The 23,169-nt window shown below is 40.8% G+C and overlaps 1 protein-coding gene across 56 annotated transcripts in view, besides 1 other annotated feature; it reads right to left on the reverse strand.

The window, feature by feature from the left end:
• The window catches only part of KCNMA1 (potassium calcium-activated channel subfamily M alpha 1), a 768,207-nt gene that overhangs the window by 327,976 nt on the left and 417,062 nt on the right, over positions 1–23,169 (reverse strand). The window contains exon 4 of one of the 56 annotated variants that reach the window (NM_001322838.2): positions 19,906–19,981. The exons of 54 other annotated variants lie outside the window; for them this stretch is intronic. In NM_001322838.2, coding sequence (NP_001309767.1) covers positions 19,906–19,967 — 62 coding nt within the window. In that variant the 5' untranslated portion in view covers positions 19,968–19,981. Of the gene's footprint in view, positions 1–19,905; positions 19,983–23,169 lie in introns of those variants that run through there. One more of the 56 variants, XM_017016223.1, reaches the window with a different exon arrangement.
• Positions 3,692–4,220: an enhancer, noted in NCBI's record as "NANOG hESC enhancer chr10:78961027-78961555 (GRCh37/hg19 assembly coordinates)". NCBI's record gives its function as "activates a minimal SCP1, AML or CMV promoter by ChIP-STARR-seq in naive H9 embryonic stem cells {active_cell/tissue: H9 hESC(naive)}" and the evidence as "EXISTENCE:reporter gene assay evidence [ECO:0000049][PMID:30033119]".

Raw genomic sequence — 23,169 nt, forward strand, 5'->3', positions numbered from 1 at the left:
CTCAGGCCCAGTGCTTCAGTGTATTGGAATGCTCGCTGCTTTAATTCATGCATGCGTCCAGTGCTCACCACGTTCAGGGCCATCGGGGAAAGCACGTCAACATGCTTGGGCAGTGCAGGAAAAGAATCTGGTTAACCTGGAGGCGACAACCGAAAGGGGGAGGTTGCATCATGCAAATGAAAACCACAGCTTGGCCTTAGCTGCCATGCAGAAAGGACCTACATCAAAGAGTCTGCAGTGCGGCTCCTGGGTAAGAGTCGATATGAGAGAGGTGAGTTACTTCAGCAATGAGAGACACAGGCAGAAAAATGTTCAAACCACTCTAAACAGAACACTGTACAGAGCGCTGGCATTACACGCGAGAAGAGGCAGCTTTGGGGACGAGGAGGGGCGAGACAGAGGGAAGGTGAGGACAGAACTGGCCGTTACTCAATGAAATGGCTTCCCTGGCCATCCTTTCATATGCATGTATTTTTATAATGTATTTCACTTCAACAAATAACCTCATGAGAGTTTTTAACATCAACCATAATTGTTAAGATGTTGTGAAAATTCAGGAGAAACAAGGCATCAGTTACATAAAGATACACACCATGGTTTCCTGTAGTTACAGTTCATTATAGAAGCAGAGCTGAAGCGGGTCAGATAAATAAGAGACAGTTAAGTGCCAACATCCTTAACACTTTGGTTACAGAGCTCATGATGACTCTCAAGGCGTAATGTAGTGTTGAAGGAACCCAACAGTCGTGAAAGCTCGGGTGGTGCAAGGGTAGGGACTCTATGCATCTATACCCCTGAAAGCCATTTATAACCCTGAAGTTAACCACGCTCTCAAGTGAAGCCATCTTTTCTTCATCTCAGCATGAATGACAGGTGAACAGTGAGCTCACCTCATACATATTGACCATTTAGCAGAACCCTAGTTACGAGCAAGATTCTCAAAGGTATTTCTTATCAAAATCAATTCATCAGCAAAAAGCATATATATGTGATATATATATATATATATATATATATTTCTTAACATTTCTCTTAAAGGAGTAATAATACTGTTTTAAATTCAGTAGAGATTCATCAAGCTTCGCTCTAATGTCAAGGCTACACTGGATATCTAAAAACTAGTTTCCTGTAAACTCCCTGCTTAATATAAGGCTTGTTATCATTTTTCTTGCCTCTTCTGCCTTTTATGATCTCTGGTACATTGAACACAACTCAAAAAATGGTACGGTCTAGTCCTAACTCACAATTCCTGCCTCCTAGTTCTGACAGGGGAAGAGCAAGCCCCGTGCTTATAAATTACTCCTTCTAAAATGTTCTCCAGGAGTTCAGCCTTCTGATTCCCTGCGTGTATGATGGAGGCCTTGATAGGGAACTTAGGTCCAGTGTGAATGAGCAGTGCACTGCCTCACTTTCCACACTCAGTGAGACCTTAACATACCCACTGAAACTTGAGCACCACCCAGAACATGGGAGTGAATGCAGGTAGAAGCAAAACACAGGATTCCTCCCGACACTACCTTCCTCATTCCTTGAGATGCAGCTGTTTCCACTTGATCACAATTTATTCTCTCTTATAGATTAAAAACTCAGAGGCTTAGTTGAATGACATCTTTTCAAAGGATTATCTTTTTGAACAAAAACATAATAGTCTGTACATTCATTCAACAAATGTCTCTGAGTTTTTTTCTTTGGTGACAGGCACTATGCTGGTTTTGGAGACATATAATTCAATAAGACATGATTCTTGCTCTGGAGTAGTTTTCCATTTAGCAGAGAAGTCTACCCAGATTTTAATTTCTGGCAGCAGATATGCAAGAGCAGCTTGTTTAAAAATTCTACTGATTACCTTGTATGACCTTGGATAAGATATTTAATCATGCTGTGCCTCAGTGTCCTCATTTATAAAATGCAAATAATACCTACCTCCTGAGGTTGTTGAGAGAAATAAATGAGTTAGTAAACGTGAACTGCTTTGTTAGTGGCCAGCACATGATGGATGCTATGTCAGTGGTAGCTATTATGATCAGTAGTACTCAAATATAAGTAAGAAGCAAAGGACTCTGGAAGCAGAAGATCGCCTCTGCCTAACTTTTGCAGTAGGCCTTGAGTGAGGATTAGAAACTCATCAGCGTGAGAAGGCAGGGGAAGGGATGGAAGCAGAGGGCTAAGCTTGGGCAGAGAGACAGAAGCACAGAGAACACAGTGCATTCTGGGAGTGGAAGGACACCTCGTATAGAGCCTAAGTAGATTGTAAGGTTGGCAAGAAACAAGGCCAGACAGGAGACGGTGAAGCATCTGTGTGCCCTGGAAGCATGTCTGCTCTTTATCCTATAGGAAATAGGGAGCTGACAGAAGTTTATTTATTTTTTATTTTTATTAAATCTAGTTTTTGAGACAGAGTTTCACTCTGTCACCCAGGCTGGAGTGCAGTGGTGCGATCTTGGCTCTCTGCAACCTCTGCCTCCCAGGTTCAAGCGATTCTCCTGCCTCAGCCTCCCAAGTAGCTGGGACTACAGGCGCCTGCCACCATGGCTGGCTAATTTTTGTATTTTTGGTAGAGATAGGGTTTCACCATGTTGGCTAGGCTGGTCTCGAACTCCTGACCTCAGGTGATCCACCTGTCTTGGCCTCCCAAAGTGCTGGGATTACAAGTGTGAGCCACCACGCCCAGCCTGATAGAAATTTAAATGCTGGAGAGTGGTACCATTATCTTGTCTTGTAGCAAGTTAATTCTGGGGACAATATAGAGTAGGAATTGGAAGCAGAAGGTTGTGAAGACAGAGGTCAATTAGTCAAATTAAATCCCCACGGAAAAAAGTAACCTATGCACATACTAAGATGAGCATCATTGTTGCCATATAATTACAGTATCTTAATATCCTGGGAAATACCCCTTCTTCAGGGCCTGCTGCTGTCAGAGTTCTTTAGGAAGAGGGGATTAGGTCCACAGTATCACTGAAGCAATTTCCTAAACCACATGGTTCTCTCTCCTACCACGGCCCCCATGTCTATTGCAGGAATCTGTGTCATGAAGAAATGACAGCACATGTCTCTTAATCTTCTGGAAAAAAAAAAACCCACCCTAGTAAGAAGCTGTTCTTTCTGCTATTTGGAGAGCAGTCTCTAAATTATAGTTAGAATCGACATAAAATGAACATATTTCAGTACCTCAAATAGGGGTACCTGGACATAGTAGACACATGCCAACAATTATAGACAAATTACAGATAACAGATTATAGACAAATTGTATACATGTGATCACACCCAGGCACATAGAAAAATTACAGTGAACACTTCTGCTGCATCCACTATTAATTACCTAAAGAACTTGGTTAGTCATACCGTCAAGCCATCAACTTAACTGCCTTTTAAGTGTCCATCCAACCCTGTGCACAGTTAGGATTTCATGAGCATGTTGGACTGGTTTTCTCTCACAGAATCCTGACCTTTAGATTTAGATGTCCTTAGTTTCCAGAGGGCTGCCTGAAAGTATGAATTCTGGGGTGTGCAGGGGGTAGGGGGTGAGGCTTTCTTTTGGCAGGAGTTGACAAGAGGAAAGATGCCATTTTCAGGTAATGTGCTTTCTCTTTAAAAAGTGACCAAGTGTGTTTGATACTCACTTAGCTCAATTTTAACCGTGGTGGGAGCTCTGTACCCTATGTTGGTAAATCAGAAACAGGAAAGTTCTGTCTGTGTGCTGCTGTGACCATGCGGTCATATTTGTTTGGTGGATTTCCATTTGTTCCAAGTCCATTCTAGTTTGGAGTTTCCATGAAGCCAGGCCAAGTGTACAAATGCTAACACAGGGAAAAAGAACCCTCTATACATGGACTTACGGAGAAGACAATACACACTGAACTTGGAAAAGGAGCACAGGCTGAGATTCCCTAAAGTGGCAGCCACCTTGCTGCACAGCAGACACTCAGGGAGATGCTCCAGGCAGCAATTGCTCAGCAGGAAGGCATGCTGGGGAAGGACCTCATTTCAAAGGAGAGTAGAACAGGCCTAAGTGCTGGGATTACAGGCGTGAGGCACCGCACCCAGCCTGAAATTAGTATTATTTTAAAGTTCACGCATGTGACCTTATAAAAATGTTGGTGCTTATTTTTAAGTTATTTCTTTTTCTTTTTAAAATTTGGTTTCTCACAAGAGAATTTCATTGTGCTGATGGAAGAGTTCTGTATACTGACTGGAGAGGTAATAAAACAAATTTATGTGGGATAAAATGTCTTGGATCTACACAGCAAAAAAAAAAAAGTGCTTGTAAAAACTGGCAAAACATCTGTACTTGAGTTTACAGCAGTACGCCAATATCAATTTCCTGGTTTTGATAACATACCATGCATGCCTATGTAGCATATAGCACTATCATGGGGAAAGCTTGGAAAGGATACAGAAACTCTGTCCTGTTTTTGCAACTTCTTGTGAATCTTAAACTATTTCAAAATGAAGTTCTAATTTTAAAAAACAGTTATTCTCCTGTTTGGTTTTACTGTAGCCAGACATCAGGCTAGTGGTCTATTTCTGGTGATATGTGCCTCTAAATGTCTACAGACTGATTTCTTTAACAAACATTTACTCAGCACCTGTTATAGGTATAATACTGTGTTCAATTCCAAAAGATATAAAAGAGGGATAAGAAACCACAGTGATACAAATCAACATTAACTATCTTAGTTCCTTTCTCAAAGGAGTGCTAATTGAGGCAAAGACATCATTTACCTACTGCACAAATTCTCAGAGACAATCCCCCAAGATAATCAGCTGTCAATAAATGTAGGTCGTTAATGTAATAAGCAAGCTTCTAGAATTAACCCACAGTAATCTCTTCAGGTAAGCAGATATCAGGTAACAAGCTGTGCTGAATAATGCAACTGATGTGATAATGACTCTCTTCCTTCACGTACAGTTGGTGCAGGCTAAGCCATCCTTTTCCTTAGTTTTTCAGTCCCTGTTTTGTCCTTCCCAGAACTCAGTGCTCACCACACTGAGGAGCCAACAAGTGATACCTGCTTAATGAAGGTGCAGGGTGACACTAAGAGCTACTTAGATTTTAAGAAACAACTGAAAAGGCTTCAAGAATGAATGTCTAATTGGTGGAATTTCAGGTACTTTGCAAGTTAGAAGAGATGTTTTGGAGTATAGGAGTATTTACAGCACCCTCAAACTCACCCAAGGATGGCCATCTACCACACTCTCTACTAAAATAAGTTGTCATGGGCAATTATATTGGAAGTAAAGTCAAGGCCAAATGAGGCAATAAGGATGGATCCTTAGAATGCCAAAGACTTTGCAAGGAACATGTCAACAGTTTTTATCATTCTGAGAAGCTGCCTCTAACAGGAACAAAAAGAAAACAGAGAAATGTGCAAAGAATAAAATCTCCTGGAATTGAAGCCTCAGCAAATGAATATCCAGGAAGAGCCAATTCAATCCTTCCTGAAATAGAAGATGTGTCACTGCTGTTAACCTGACACCGTTATTACCTGCAAGTGGCTTGGGCTTTTAAGAAGTCTGGAAGTACCATCTTTTTCTTGCTGTTTAAAGGATAAACAACTAGAACAGCTCAATCCGGGAACAAATGAATTTTTCAAAGCATTCCCCAAAGAACTGGGAAACTCCTGCTATGAAGAAGGGTCCTATCCTAATCACAACAATTTTTAAAGAAGTTTTGTAACAGTGGAAGACAGAAGACTCCCAGAAATATTTGACATCTGTAAGAATGAACAGCAGCTAAGAATGGACGGGCTGCTGCATTCACTCCTCTGTTTCACACCCATGCTATTCCCTTGCAAGCTCTTACTCATCCACCTTTGAACACTCAACTCAGTGGCTGCCTCCTCCAGAAAGCCTCCCCTGATCCTCCTCCCACCCAGAGGTAACTGAACCTTTTTCTAGGCTTTTCTTCCTGGGTGCTTCTGTTGTGGCGCTCATCACTCATGAAGTGGTAATTTATTTGTTTGTGTATCTGTCTCCCTTCCCTGCTAGACTGTGAGCTCCTGAGGGGAGAGCCTTGGTGTTTTGTGTCTGGGTTCCCATCATCATGGTACCCGCAAAATAGGCCCTCAATACATGTTTAAGGAGGAGGAGAAAAATAAATGAATTGAGGGAGAAAATAGACAAACCTGGAGGAAACTGATTATAATTCAACAGTACCAAGATACTAGGGAAGTCCCATCTCCCAACATGGTTTCAAATGGCCCCATAGTCCCATACCAATTCAGAACTTAAATTAGGCTAGGCGTGATGGCTCACACCTGTAATCCCAGCACTTTGGGAGGCTGAGGCGGGCAGATCACTTGAAGTCAGGAATCCGAGACCAGTCTGGCCAACATAGTGAAACCTCATCTCTAATAGAATACAAAAATTAGCTGGGCATGGTGGCGGGTTCCTATAATCCCAGCTACTTGGGAGACTGAGTCAGGAGAATCACTTGAATCCATGAGGTGGAAGTTGCAGCAAGCCAAGATCACATCACTGCATTCCAGCCTGGGGGACACAGTGAGACTCCCTCTCAGGAAAAAAAAAAAAAAGAAAGAAAGAAAAAAGAACTTAAATTATATGACAATTACATCAGTTACAATATTACTACAATCCCTAGAGGATGAGGTGCATTCAAAGGACTGATTTGTGTGCTCTTCCCGTGTTTCAGGGGAGTTTCAGGTTATCTCACCTCATGTGTGCAAGAAGAAGAATGGGAATGACCTTGGAGGTAACAAGATTCACCACTCAGCAAAGCCATTTGACCTCACTAGCCATGAGAGGTCCAAGACCTGAGAAGGCTATGGGATAGTTAAAATTCCACAGGAGAGTCTCCCCGAGGGCATTCAATTTCTGTGTCATTAGGCATCACAAAATCTAAATGCCTAAAACTAAAAAAAAGTCATTCCTCTGAAACTAATGAGTATGCACTTTTCTCCTTCTATGAGGGTTATCTTCTATAACTGGGAAACCAAGATTGAAATGAAGTTGCCCCTGTAAACATTATAAAATTAATCAGGGAAGAAGAAAGGGGAAAAAATAAATTAATAAACCAAGCTTGAAGCACATTCAGCATTAAGCATGAGGTCAACTCATTCTCTGACCTGCTTCCTCGACATGGTTTGGTGCCTATTGTCCTAGAATCATGTAGACTCTGTGATAAGATGATAGTTCCCCTTAAGTGCTCTATAGATAACAACTTGAACATTAAGAAATGTTAAGCTTTCCCCGTGAGGTAGTCTTTCAGGTCCTGCATACGAGTGAAACTACTACATCAGCTGATCTGAATGAAAGACCCCACGGGTGACCCCAGGAAGGTCTGAGGAACACCACAAGAAGCTGACTCACCAAAGAACACAATTTCCACATTCTGATGATTTAATCCCCCTTCCCCTGATCAGTCAACAACCCCAATTTTCCAGCCCATCACGCTCCATGATGTTCTTAAAAACCACAGCCCAGAGCTCCTCAGAAAGATGAATTTGAGGCTCTCCTCCCATCTCCTCCCTTGGTGCCCTGAGATAGTTAAACCCTTCTCTGCTGCAAACCTGCTGTCTCAGGGTAATGGGTCTGTTACTATGCAGTGGGCACACAAACTTATTGGTTCTATATCAGAAATAATACACAGAGGTGATTGAAGCCCCAGTTCGTTCTTCTCTCTTTGCTTCAAATGATATATTTTTTTGTGCTCTAGCTCAGGAAGCTGGACCTAAACTTGACACGAAGCATACTAGGAGCAAAGCTAAAAATCTAGAGATGTGTGCATATCAAATAGGAGGAAGTCAGCTCATGTTTCTCTTGCTGATTCATTTCTCCAGGAAGCCAACCCAAGGAATCAGGTGTTCAAGCAACAATGGAAAAAGATGAATTAAAATCTCCACATAAGAATACATAGATGAAGAGGAGTGTGGGTGAGGATTTTAACCCAAAGGGTCTCCTTGGAGAGTAACTTATCTTACTGGATATAAATCAACATGCTCTAATTTTTCCAGTAAGGCTGAATATATTTAAACCTTCAAAAAATATAGTAATTTTTAATGCAGTCTTAGATTGATGAAGGTTTCTTATAGTTTTTACTCCATGCTGCATATATGATGAAGATTCCATTAGGAAGTCCATCTGAACCAAGTATTTAAATCACTTAACATTAACTTTCCTTTGAATTTGTCCTCTCATATCAGCCTAGATTTTGATAACCTGCTCCTTCTAGTCATCACTCTCCCTAAATATAAAACCATTTTTTAAAAAATCAGGACGACTTTTTAAAAGTCTATGAAATTGTAAAAATTTGTAGAGTTATCACTAGCTTCTGAAGTGACACCTCTGGGTAGGCAATTCTACAAAGACTATTTGTAACTATATGAGCTAATAGTATAGAAGCAGTGATGTAAAACTGTATTATTTGTTTATTATGAGCAACAGAATAATGGAATGAATTAATGCACCAATCTCGCTCTAATGAATCTATGGACAACATGACAGTATGGTGTGAACAGAACAAAATAAAACCATTGAGTGGGTCCATTTGCAAATAAGCCCATTTCCCCATAAGGCGAGAGAACATTTGTTTAATTTAAAGCTTAAGAACAATCTCTTTACATACAAAATACTTTTTCTCAGTTAAAAAATTATAAGTGCTAAGACAATTAAATTAATACAGCATCACCATTTTTAAAACTGAAAAAAAGAGGTTTAATTAATCTCATTGTGTTCTAACTCACTGTTAAATCAATAAAAGAGTTTGAAAAAAATGTGTCAACCTGACGTTGGATTCATTGTTTTTCTATTTAGTAGATATGTTTAAGAATTCATTGAGTGGTGTTGTGGAGTTTAAATGAGTTAAAACAGGACAAGGGCTTAGACAGTCACTGGCACTGATTAAGGGCTCATTAACTGTTACCTGTTGTCAAATGTAAAGTCATGCGCCAAACTTCTATCTGCTCTTGGTTTTTCGTCTAACTGGGAACTGGACCTCTTGCCTCTACGTAAGTCTCCTACCACCCGTATTACTCTCTCTCTTTCCCACTGAGCTCTAACCATACTCATCTTCTTTCTGTTTCTTCAACTGTCCAAGTTTTTGGCCATCTCCACTGGAATGCAAGGCCCATAAAAGCAGAAAACATGTGTGTTTTGTTCACTGTTTCACCAAAACCTACACAAGTGCCTGACACAGACTAAGTACTCAATAAACTTTGCTAAACAAGTAAATAAATAAATGGAGAGCCAAAGGAAGGAATAAAGGGAGGCAGGGAGGGAGGGGGGGGCGGGTCTTAGTTCATTCTCACTAAGATTAAGTCTATGGTCAATACTAGTTTGCTAGTGTTTCCTTTATCAAACCATGCTTGTTATTAGGATCAGGCTGCTCCCACCTCACTTCCTATGTCTATATGATTTTTTTGTACTCACAAAAAGGATTTTCCTCTCTTGCATTCCAACACAAGGAGTTCCTTGACAATTTAATATTATATAATATATGCACCTGGAAAGATGTTTGACATCTAATTTTTGACTTACACTTAACCACATATTTCCGCTTTCATTTGAAGGCAAAATGGAACATTTTCTTGTCAATTTTTTTTTCTAGATTATGTGAAGAAGAAATTAATAGTCTTGTCCCATGTTAATCTAAAGCTCTTCTGATTACATAAATTTAATAGAGGACTCTCCCTAAACAAACTTTAATTCCACACTTAAAGTATCTTTACAATGACAAAATTGTTCTGCATTCTATAGATATTGGAATATAACACATTGCATAATTTAGAGGTTAAGAAAATGGACTCTGGATTCAGACCAGGGGTTCAAACTCTAGTTCCTATTACTAACCATGTGGACATTGAAACCTTCTGAGGTGTTCTTTCTTCATCAAGCAAATAAAGAAAATCGTAGTAGTGCTACTAAGTAGAATAATAAGTTTGTAAAAGGCTTATCATGGCACTTTGCACCTAGTAAGTACTCAATAAATACAGAAGCTGCTTGTAGACCTAGAGAGAGCAAACTAGAACTAAGATCAGAATCCCCTAATGATAGCCAGGCAAGCCAGTACCTGACCTATTGAACATCTGGTAGAGATCCACTGAGTGAACGGCTGCTACTGGTGACTAACTGCATGACAGCCTTTCCTTGTCTTCCTCGCTAATGTCTGTTCAGGTTGTGTGGCCCTTCCTATACTGATGTGATGTATTTTGTAGAATCCCTCTCCTTGAGCCTGTGATGGCCAAAATTGCGTGCATACCATAAATGCTTAACTAGGTAAAATGCCTTTGTAAGACTCTGATGTTAGTCCCTGCTGACAACTTTCTACCTCACTACAATCCACTTTAATCTTTGCATTGACATTTCTGTTTAGAAGAGCAAGCCAGGAATGATGGCTCTGGGCTGAGAATCTGGAATGCAGATTATAACTGCTCAGCAAGTTCGCTTGCTTTGTGTAAACTGGCCGCACTTCTTTTGTCCTCATTTGGAAAATAGCTTTGGCTGCTTGATATCGCCACATCTTCCATTTTACACATTCTCAGTTTCTGACAAGAAAAGTAGAGAGTGGAATGCCACACTGTTGCAAATCTGCGGATACGCATCAGCTTAACCTTATTTGTTCTGGTGGATTTTTGTAGATGAGAATGAATATTTGGGCTACAAACTTCCAGCTTGATTCCCTTCTCTTAGTTCCAATTTCCCAGGGTTTGTTTGCTCAAATGCCCAATGTAAGAGCACTACTCTATTCTAGGGGCCACCTTCCACTGCTGTGGGTTGACCTCAACAGGCATTAAACCTGTATGCAGAGCCAGGCATGGTGGCACATGCTTATAATCCCGGCTCCTTGGAGGCTGAGGCGGGACGATCACTTGAGCCCAGAAGTTTGAGACTGCAGTAAGTTATGATCACACAACTCCAGCCTGGGCAACATAGCAAGACCTTGTCTCTAAAAATAAATAATAAGTAAATAAAACGTTTTAAAAACCTGTGCGCAGAAATGAAAGCCCATGAACAGCAAAAAAATCAAATGCAATCCTGGAGCTATGCATAAACCAAAGGAGAGATGAATATGTCTAGATTAAAGTTCTTTAGCATCTACTGTCCATCTTATGGGATTCCATAGACAAACATACAGTAGAAAAGCTCAAAATAAAATGGCTTTATTCTATATTTAAAACTACATTTTTTCCTTATTTGTGTTATTGCAGACTATTAGTTTTTCATGCACAGGCAAGAGCTAAACAAATACACTGATTCCCCAATGTGACCCTCTATAGCATCAAGACCTATTTTTATAGCAGTGTAAGTACATGCACCAACTATTATGTGTTCTTATGAAGTAATCCTCATCCTGTCAACTGCTGTAAGATCCTGGGGAACATGCTGAGCAATGCTGGTGTTCTATGGTTATGCAGTACTTGGCCAAGCTCAGTGGGTAATTTCTCCTAAGTATATATATGCTTAAATGGCACCTACCAATTATCTCTCTTTGGAAGAGTGCAAGTGTAGCATGCCCACTCTCCCAGATGTGTGCACATTCCCGCCTCCACAGAGCTGTCTCTTCGCCTCTCCTCTCTAGAAGCTCTGGGTTAGTCCTTTCTCCAGGCACAGAGGCAGCTGAGTGAACTCAGCCTAGGGGAGCTATCACTGTTCTTTTCTTACCTCTAGGAGTTACAACAGAGAAAACCTGTTCTCCAGAAAAAGACCACCCTCTACAATGTCTTCATAGGAAAAAAAATGGTCACACCTGTGACACAGCCCTAATTGAATTCTTATAGGCACCTCAGATCAAAGCTACCCAATAACCTGAGGTAATGGAAAAGAAAAACAATAGAGTATGACATTTATTCATGTACCAAATTCTTGGTTTCTCACCTATTAATTTTTGGTCTTGCAAATTTTGCTGGAACAGAACATGATAGAGTACTGGCTCTGAAGTTCTAGGTTCAGATAACAAACTCAAAAGGGGTTTAGGAAACTAATCCAAGGGAGAATCATAAATTTGAACCTTAACATGGACTCTGTTCTCCACATTAAAATATATTGTACTACCTTTTTTCATATAACATATCAAAGAAACCAAGAGTTGGCTCTTCGAAAGAATATACAAGAATGCTAGACAGCTGGCCAGATTAACAAAAAAAGAAGATTCAAATAAGTGCAATCAGAAATGACACAGATGACATTACAACTGATCCCACAGAATTACAAAAGATTCTCGAAGACTATTATGAATACCTCTATGCACATAAATTAGGAAATCTAGAGGAGATAGATAAATTCCTGGAAACACACAACCTCCCAAGATTGAACCAGGAAGAAAGTGAAAACCTGAACAGACCAATAACAAGCTCTGAAATGGAATCAGTAATTTAAAAAAAACCTACCAACCAAAAAAAAAAAAAAAAGTCCTGGACCAGATGGGTTCACAACCAAATTCTACCAGATGTGCAAGGAACTGGTACCAATCCTACTGCAACTATGCCAAAACACTGAGGAGGAAGGGCTCCTCCCTGATGCATTCTATGAAGCCAGCATCATCTTTATACCAGAAGATGGCAGAGACACAACAAAAAAAGAAAAACATTAGGCCAATATCCCTGATGAACATAGATGCAAAAATCCTCAATAAAATACTGGCAAATCAAATCCAGTGGCACATCAAAAAGTTAATTCACCACAAACCAAGTAGGCTTTATCCCTGGGATGCAAGGTTGGTTCAGTATATGCAAATCAATAAATGCGATTAGCATTATAAACAGAATTAAAAGCAAAAACACATGATCATCTCAATAGCCTCAGAAAAAGATTTTGATTAAATCTAACATCCCTTCATGATAGAAACTCTGAAAAGAGTAAGCATCAAAGGAACATACCTCAAAATAATAAAAACCATCTATGACAAACCCACAACCAACATTATACTGAATGGGCAAAGCTACAAGCATTCCCCTTGAGAAGAGGAACAAAGCAAAGACTCCCGCTCTCATTACTCCTATTCAATATGGCATTGCAAGTCCTAGCCTGAGCAACCAGGCAAGAGAAAGAAAGAAAAGGCAACCAAATAGGAAAAGAAGAAGTCAAACTACCTCTCTTCACTGATAATATTACTCTTTACTTAGAAAACCCTAAAGATTCTTATAAAAGGCTGTTATAACTGATCAATGATTTTAGCAAGGTTTCAGAATACAAAATCAATGTACAAAAATCAGTAGCATTTCTACACACCAACAACATCCATGCTGAGAGTCAAATCAAGAACACAGTCCCATTGACAATAGCCACACAGAAAATAAAATACCTAGGAGCACAGCTAAAAAAGGAAGTGAAAGATCTCTATGTGGAGAACTACAAAACACTGCTGAAAGAAGTCAGAGACAACACAAATAAATGGAAAAACATTTCATGCTCATGGATAGGAAGACTGAATATTGTTAAAATGGCCATACTACCTAAAGCAATTTACAGATTCAACACTATTCCTATCAAACTACCAATAACATTCTTCACAGAATTAGAAAAAACTATTCTAAAGTTCATATGACTCCATAAAAGAGCCTGAGTGGCCAAAGCAATTCTAAACAACAAAAACAAAAACAAAAAAACAAAGCTGGAGGCATCAAACTACCAACAAAGCTGGAGGCATCAAACTACCTGACTTCAAATATACTATAAGGCTACAGTAACCAAAACAGCATGGTATTGGTAAAAAAAACAGACATATAGATCAGTGGGACTGAACAGAGAACACAGAAATAAAGCCGCACATCTAGAGCCATCTGATTTTCAACAAGGCTGACAAAAACAAGCAGTGGGGAAGGGACTCTCTATTAAATAAATGGTGTGGGTATAACTGGCTAACCATACGTAGAAGAATGAAACTGGACTCTTACCTTTCACCATGTACAAAAATTAACTCAAAATGGATTAAAGATTTAAATAGAAGACCTCAAACTATAAAATCTTTGAAGAAAACCTAGGAAATACCCATCTCAACATCAGCCTTGGCAAAGAATTTTTTACTAAGTTCCTAAAAGCAACTATAACAAAAACAAAAATTGACAAGTGGGACCTAATTAAACTAAAGAGCTTTTGCACAGCAAAAGAAACTATCAACAAAGTAAAAAGACAACCTATAGAATGGGAGAAAATATTCGCAAACTATGCATCTGACAAAGGTCTAATAACTAGGATCTATAAGGAACTTAAAAAAATTGACAAGCAAATAATCCCACTAAAAAATGGACAAAAGACATGAAATGACACTTCTCAAAAGAAGACATACAAGTGGCTAACAAACATGAAAAACTGCTCATCATCACTAATCGTCAGAGAAATTCAAATTTAAACCACAATGAGATACCGTCTCACACCAGTTAGAATGGCTATTACTAAAAAATCAAAAAACAACAGATGCTGGCAAGGCTGCGGAGAAAAGGGAATGTTTACACACTGTTGGTGGGAATGTAAATTTGTTCAGCCAATGTGGAAAGCAGTTTGGAAATTTCTCAAAACACTTAAATCAGAGCTACCATTCAACCCAACAATCCCACTACTGGGTATATACCCAAAGGAAACTAGATAATTATACCAAAAAAACACATGCACCTACATGCTCATTGCCATGAAATTTCACAGTAGCAAATACATTGAATCAACCTAGGTGCCCATCAATGGTGGACTAAATAAAGAAAATGTGGTACATACACATCATGGAATATTAAAAAGCCATAAAAAAGGGTGAAATCAAGTCTTTTGTGGTAACGGGAATGGAGCTGGAGGCCATAATCCTAAGCAAATTAACACAAAAACAGAAAACCAAACACTGCGTGTTCTCACTTATAAGTGGGAGCTGAGCACTGAGCACACATGGACATAAACATGGGAACAATATATACTATGGACTACTAGAGAGGGGAGGGAAAGGACCGTGGGTTGAAAAACTACCTATTGGGTACTATGCTCGCTACCTGGGTGCAATATATTCACATAACAAACCTGCATATGTACCCCCTGTATCTAAAATAAAAACTGAAATTAAAAATATATATTTTTAAAAGTACTGTATGTATACTACTTTTAATTATGAAATGCCAATTTGTTATATTCTCTCTCTCTCCTTCTCTCCCTCCCCTGCTCAGTGTCTCTTGCTCTTTTCTCTCTCTTGCTGTCTTCTCTTCCCTCTTCCTCATTAAGCTGTATGGTTAAGGAAATGAGAGCAATCTCTGCTTCAAGGCACAGCCAAGAGGAATCAGCGCTCTTGACTTTGACATCTTCAATTCCTACTACCACACTTCGTCAGAGAAAAAAAATGACAGGAAACTTCTAGACAAGATGATTCCCTGCCATTATCCTTAAAGATCTATCCAAATCACATCATTCCTTTCACTTGCTAATTGGTTTCGTAAGCCTTCTTCCCTTCCTTATGTTTTCTATTCTTATTTTTGGGACAATTGCCGACGTATGCATAGTTCTGGATTTTTTTTTTAAGTAATTTGTAGTTGACTATCGTTTATTTCTGCAATTGGTGTAATTAAATCTAATTACATAATCGGTGAAAGACTGAGTAATTACATAATTAGAATGTGCAATAATAACAGTTGAAATCCTATTGTTATGACGTGTAATGATACAATTATGATGTATAACATTCACAGGGTACTCTGCAACGAGCAAAAACGGCTCTAACCCTGGCTGAATGGAGCACAGCTAAAGTTGGAGACCTGGAAAGTAGCTTTCAGCACCTATACTTGGACTTGCTTATCATCCTTATCCCCCTAATGTATCCTTTGACTTTTATACTCCACAGGAATCAAAGGCAGTAGGCGAGGTCTAAGGAAGGTCCTCATGAGGGCAGGAGCACTCACATCTCCAAGAACCAAATCACCAATACAATCAGCCCTTAGACAGAAAGGAGCAGCAAGAGATGGACTCACATTTCTGAAACAGTCACTCCTGCATGTCAGTTTTAAGTTTGAAACTGTAATCAGGAGACAAAAAGTTAGGGTTGGAGAATGTCTGGTGATCACACACACAATTACAAGTGGGCCTAGTGATTATGGCCTGGGACATAGCTCCCAGCTCTCAGTCTGCCCTCTCCACCCCAACTCCAGTCATCTTAATCACCAGGACATAGACCAACCACCAGAAGTGCTGGCCTCCCAGGTCCTTGCTCTGCTGATTGTCGGTGACCCTTTCCTTTCCTCCACGCCACCCACCCACTCCCATGATCTTGCTCTGGACCCGAAGAAAGCAGCAACTATAGTGTTTCTGATATCTCGGCCTCAAACACCCCATTCATCAACAGCAACCTCTCATCCTTGTGCTCGCCTGTTCACGTGCTCCCCACTGGGACCCTTCCCCAACCTCAGAGAAATCTCCAAATTCTGGACACCTCCCCCGACATCCCACCCCTGGCCAGTCATCTGCTCCCTGCCTTGCCTTGCAACGCTCCTTGTCCAGCCTAATTCCCATAGTCCACCATTGTCATCACCCCTGGGCAGCACCCTCCTTCCATAACAGAAGCCCTCAGCCCTACTTCACACCAGCTCTGGAAAGCTGAAAGTTCCTGAATAAAACCACACAAGGGAAATGACTGGTTTCGCTTTAAATTCATGATCTCAAACTGCAAATTGACACTCCATACTGACTGGCAAACTGCTATTTTTCTTGAATTGGTTTGCTTTCCAATTTTCCAAGGCCACTATTTCACAGTTTTCCTTCTCTCCTCCAACCTCCCATGTTCTTTTCTGCACCATCAGGCTCAGTGGATGGCCTCGCCTCATCATGTCATTAAAAGTCACATAAAAGAATCAGGCCAGTTACACTTTTTTTCCTACCAGCAGCTCTCCAACACTGCACTTACAGGCGCCCAGCACATCCTCTGCCTCTTCATTCATAACACACCATGCCCTCCACAGACACTCTTTCAGCCCTGTACTGTCTAACTGTACTGTGTTGCTATAGCAAGCTCTCCCTTGCTGCTGGAGCTCTGCTGCCAAAATATAAGCTTGCTCAACTGTCCTCCATAGCCAACCACATTTCCAGAGACTACTGCAGGCTCCATCCTTTAGCCCACTTTGATCAGGCCCTCCCTCCACTCACTAGAGCTTCAATGTCAAAGAAACCAGCAACATCCCTGTCACAAACTCCACAGATGACCCTAGACCCTTACCTTCCCTCTGTCTCAACAGTGCTTGGCAATTGGCCACTCCCTCTGCCTGAAACCCTCTCCTCCCTAGGCTTCTGCCATCTCCTTGCCCTGTGTGTGCCCTTCCTCAGTTTCCCATCCAGCCTCCTCCTGCTTTACTCACCCTCTAAATGTTGGGCATCCTCTTGCCTTCACCTGGGGCACCTTCTCTCCTCTCCCTACACTCTTTCCCCAGATGGTACCATCAACTCACAGGCATTCAAAGTCATCTTTGTAATTTCCAAATGTAATATGATTCCTCTCTTCTGAGTTCTGGACTCAATTATCTACCCTGCTGTTTGACATCTTCTCTTTCAGGTGTCACAGACTTCTTAAACTGAACATATCCAAGATGGAAATCCTGATTTCTCCCTAGTGCAGCCCTTAGCCCCCAGTGCAGCCCCTCCCTTCCCAGTAAATGCTACCACCAGCGACTTGTCATTGAAGCCAAACACTAGAAGGCTAGAAGGACCCTGATTCCTCCTTCCATTCACTCCACATCCAATTCATCATGGAGTCCTGTCCAAAATGTCTTTCTCCTCTTTAATTTCCCTACTTCACCACCCCACTAGATCAGGCCAGTGCCCTCTTCTGTCGGGATGGTCTTTTCTTTATCTTCTGAACATGATTACAGATTGCACCTGTTTTGTTTTGTTTTGTTTTGTCTGTCTTTTATTTTTGCTTTTTTTTTTTTTTGCCTGTCTCCTCCTCTAGACTGTGTTCCCTGATTACATTTATTGTTTTACTTATTTACAGTTTCCAGCATAGATCAGGTAATTAACTTTCATTAGATAAATAAATAAATGACTATGGTATTGGCATCTATAATATGCAGACTATGAGCCTCATGGTAAACTTATAAGGGCCAAGATGAAAGCCAGGGCCAGAGCAGAGATAATAAACTTAGCTGAAAGCTACTCAAAAAGTTAAACATCGAGATACCATATCTTGATGTGCTATGAACTGGATTGCATTCCCCCAAAATTCATATGTTGAAGCCCCAGTCCCCAGTGTTATGGCATTTGGAGGTGGAGCCTTTGGGAGATAATTAGGTCTAATGAGGTCATCATAAGAGTGGGGCCTTATGATGGGATTAATGTCCTTGTAAGAACAGATACCAGTGAGCAGTGAGCTTGCCCCTCCCCCCCACCTGTCTCTCTCTCTCTCCTCTCTCCTCTCTCCTCTCTCTCTCTCTCTCTCTCTCTGCCGTGTGAGGACACAGCAAGAAGGTGGCCATCTGCAACCCTGGAAGAGAGCCCTCACCAGAAATTGACCATGCTGTTGCCTTGATCTTAGACTTCTTAGCCTCTATTTCTATCTTGAAAACATCATGCTAATTGAAAGAAGGAAGTCACAAAAAGCCACATATTACAAAATTCAATTTATATGAAATGTCTAGAACAGGCAACTCTATAGAGACAGAAAGTAGATGAGTAGTTGCCTAGGGCTGAGAAGACTGGGGGACTGGGAGAATGTGGAATGATTGCCAATTGATATAGGGTTTCTTTCGGGGGTGTTGAAAATTTTCTGGAATTAGATTGCAGCGATAGTTGCACAAATCTGTGACTATACTAGAAACCACTTTAAATGAGTGAATTCTATGGTATATAAAACATATTTCAATAAAACTATGAAGAAGAAGGGGGGAAGAGGAGAAGTGGGAAGGAAGGGTGAGAGAAGCGGGAGGAAGAGAAGGCAAACAGCAGCAGCTCAAATTAGTTAACCTAGCTGAGTTAGTCTATGGAATCTAAGTTGCCACCAACAAAAAAGTAAGCCACTGCTTTATATGCCACCAAGAAAGAAAATATTTACCAATTATAGCCATAAGAAGTCATGAATGATGAGACACTTCCTGATTTTGGAGATTTTAAACTATGAAAAAATTGTATCTTAGAATTAGTAAAATACAGTACACGTAGCTGTTGTCAGATCTAGGTACCAGCTTCTGAAGGCTTCTAAATTTGAATTACTTCTTTAAAGATAATTTATTAACCATGAACTCATTCATTCATAAGAAAAAATTTTATCAAATGAGTATTATAAGCTGGATATTGGCTTTATATATGGTTTTGACTCTGTGCACATCATTCATTTAATCTTCAACAACTACCCTTCAAGATAAACATTATATTCCTCATTTTATAGATAAGGGTGTGGGCTACAGAAAGGTCCCATAGTTCTTAAGTGGCACAGCCAGGATCCTAAGCCATGTCTCCAGGTCTCTGCTCTGTCCCTGTGTTATGAATGAACAGTTCAGATGCAGAAACCTTGTGAGCAAAAACTGAATTTTTGGCCAGGTGCAATCTTAATCGCTCACGCTTTTAATCCCAGCACTTTGGGAGGCTGAGGCGGGCGGATCACCTGAGGTCAGGAGATTGAGACCAGCTTGGCCAACATGATGAAATCCCATCTCTACTAAAAATACAAAAATTAGCTAGGCATGGTGGCAGGTGCCTGTGGTCCCACCTACTCGGGAGGCTGAGGCAGGAGAATCGCTTGAACCTAGAAGGTGGAGATTGCAGTGAGCTGAGATCATGCCACTGCACTCCAACCTGGGTGACTCTGTCTCAAAAAAAAAAAAAGAAACTAAACAAACAAACAAAAAAAAACTAAATTTTTTTCTAAGCCAAATGTTTCCTCTGTCAGCTTTAGAGATGTAGATGCCCATCAATCCCATCATCTCAGGCCTTACTTCTCACATGGCCAACTTCTCCCAACATCAACTGGTATGTATTAAAGGAATAGGAATTACAGTACATTTCTGGAGAATATTCTTGGCCACCCTGGAATTTCCTGCATTCAATATGTTGGTTTGCCATGAAGTCTCCAGGAGCTGCCGAATGAAAACATGGAGATACTTACAGATGACACAGACAGAACAAAGTGGAAAATGAGAAACAAAAGGAGAAAAAAAGTGGTATGAAGTGCAGTTGCACCTCAATTTATGCTGCAGATGCTTTCTTGAAAATTATGTGTAGATCAAATTGATTTATGAACTAAACCCTATCATAAATTCAACAAAAGCATTGTGATGGAAACTTTTGTAATCAGAAAAATTTATTTGTGCTGAGAATAGTTGATTCTCAGCCTCTCTTTTGAATTTACTTGTTATTCTTCTCAAGGGGAGCCTACCTGCACATAAAAGTTCGATAACCACCAGGGATTCTTGATGTGCAGGAATGTCATGAGACCAAAATGCTTTACAAAGGCTTAAAAATATAAACTATCTATGCCATTTATAATAGCCATTTCCATAATACTTTAAATATATATCTCAACATAATGGGAGGGTTGAGAAGATCCTTCTCAGGGATGGAATTCTAGGACCACTATTGAAGGAGATTATTTGCGTGGGTGGGGAAGTTCAGAGGAGATAAGTATCTCCCCTGGGTAACCAAAAGCCCTGAACCCTTCTCTCTTGACAGTTGAGAGGGAGGGAGAAGTTGAAGGAGTCCAGCACTCCATTTCCAAATGACTCCCATGGCCTCCTTGCAAATTACAACGTCACTAGCTCCCTGGTCTTCCATAGCCAAAGGTTACAAAATGGCCACCCATACAGGCCATTTAAACCATTTAAACCATTTAAACCATTTAAAACCATACAGGTTTTAAAAATCAAGTGTTACATTTCTTAAAATGGATTTGCAGAATTACTTGAATGAATAAAAGATCTGCAAGACATGCTCCATATTCCCACTGGGGAATAACTCACTGGAGCTGGGTAGATGCTCCTGAAGACGTGTCTCCTGGTCCCCACTACTTCTTAAGCCTTGCATCCAGCCTGGCTCCTGCAGGCATTTTCACTTGCACCCCAGTAGAAGTCTCCTCTGAGCTAAGGGTCACCACCACACGACTCACCCAATCCCATGTAGAGCCCGCAAATATCCATGATCCCAAGAGCATCCTTTCTTTAATGTGGTCTCATTTCAAAATATATGAGACTGTTGGATTTATTTATTTACTGATTTATTTATTTATTGAGACAGAGTCTCACTCCATCGACCAGGCTGGAGTGCAGTGGTGCAATCTCGGCTCACTGCAACCTCCGCTTCCTGGGTTCAAGTGATTCTCCTGCCTCAGCCTCACAAGTAGCTGGGATCACAGGTGCACGCCACCATATCCGGCTAATTTTTGTTTTTTGGGTAGAGATGGGATTTCATCATGTTGGCCAGGCTGATCTCAAACTGTTGGCCTCAAGTGATCTGCCCGCCTCGGCCTCCCAAAGTGCTGGGATTACAGGCATAAGCTACTGCGCCTGGCCTTATTTTTTTTATTATTTAATAAATTTTTTAGAGCTAGCCCAAATTCTTTCAGATCCTCTGTTCTTGAAGTGCCCTCCTGGTTCATTTCGTCTAGTGACAAATATGACTCCATATCACCACTTTCCCAGAGAATCAGCACAGCAGCCATGCCTCCAGAGCTTTTGCTTCACAGACATGCTTAATAAATTCACTTTACCCTTTAGACCACAGGGCTTAGAAAGGAATGTTGTTTTTGTTGTTGTTGTTATTGTTCTGCTTTCCATCAGCTTAATACAATCGTGACGACATGCTTCTAAGAAGGATCCTAAGACGTTCATTTCTTTGAAGCACTATTACCAGTGGAGCTGACAACAAAAAGTTAATAGACATAGGACTCAGGCACTCAGGCTCACTCTGCTTAAACTAGCGGAGTGGGGAAGAAGAGAGACGTGTACATTCCATATCCATACCAGCCTGGGGTCTTGGGTTCTAAGAGGGGTGGTGGCTTTTCCCTGAGCCCTAAACCCAGCAGCTGCAGTTAGTGCCAAAGATTATGAGGGTACAGAAAGTAAAGAAAGATCAGTGTTTTAAAGTCTCCACCCACCATATGATTTCTCAGAAACCTCAAATGTCCTTTGTTGTTGTTGTTCGTTTTGTTTTGTTTTGTTTTTGAGATGGAGTTTTGCTCTGTCGCCCAGGCTGGAGTGCAGTGGCGCGATCTTGGCTCACTGCAAGCTCTGCCTCCCGGGTTCAAGCAATTCTCTTGCCTCAGCCTCCCAAGTAGCTGGGACTACAGGCACCCACCACCACACCTGGCTAATTTAGCAACCTCAAGTCTTAATCCATATAGGAACTGTAAGAAGACTACTGGTTTGTTTCTCATCACTAACATGGTAACTCATGATTGCCGAACACTGGCTGAGCAGTCATGCTCTGCCCAGTGGCATTGTTTTCTAAGAACTTAAGTGTATCTTCTCATTATCCTCATAAAATCCCCATTATCAGCTCCATTCCACAAGTGGAGACCTTGAAACTTAGAGAGCTTAAATAATAATAATAACTAAAATTCATGAAGGGTGCCCTTCTAGCCCACTACACATACCAGGCACTGTTCTGAGTGTTTTTATCTGTTGACTCAATTAATCCTCATAACACCCTTTTTGTGTTACTATTTATGTTGTCTTCATATTACAAATGAAGAAACTGAGGCACAGGGAAGAGGTGAAATAAGATCACTTAGCTGGTGAGTAATTAGGCAGAACTTGAACTTGGGCAGCTTGACACCAAAGCTGTGCTTTTACTGCTAGGCTGATTTGCTCAAAGTCACACCACTGGTTAAGGCTGGAGTTTGAGTCTACTCCATGTGGTCAGAATCTAGAGCCACAGGGGCAGCCATGTGCTCTGCGGCCTGCTTAGATGTTCATGGGGTCAGATTTCCTCTGCAGTGGCTCCAACGGCTGGCAGCAGGGTCTGGGATGGATGTACTGCCTTTCTCAGAGCTAGGCTGGGAAAAACATTTCCTTGTCATTTATTTTTTAAATGTCAGGAGATTTTAAAACTTCTAGGAGAGCAGATAAGTGATAAGAAGAAAATCTGGGTCGTTTTTGTGCATACAAAGGGGCCATTCTAATAGTGGTTTCAAGGGGTCTTTTCTAGACAAAAGGGGAGGAGATTGTTTTAGTAGCCCTCTCTTCCTTTCCTGGGGAGTTTGAAACTATCTAGTTTTGAAATCTAAAAATCCCCAAGCTCTTGGATCTGGTCCTTTTTACCCCCTTAGCCA

The sequence above is a fragment of the Homo sapiens genome, chromosome 10, assembly GCF_000001405.40.
Source record: "Homo sapiens chromosome 10, GRCh38.p14 Primary Assembly".
Lineage (NCBI taxonomy): Eukaryota > Metazoa > Chordata > Mammalia > Primates > Hominidae > Homo > Homo sapiens.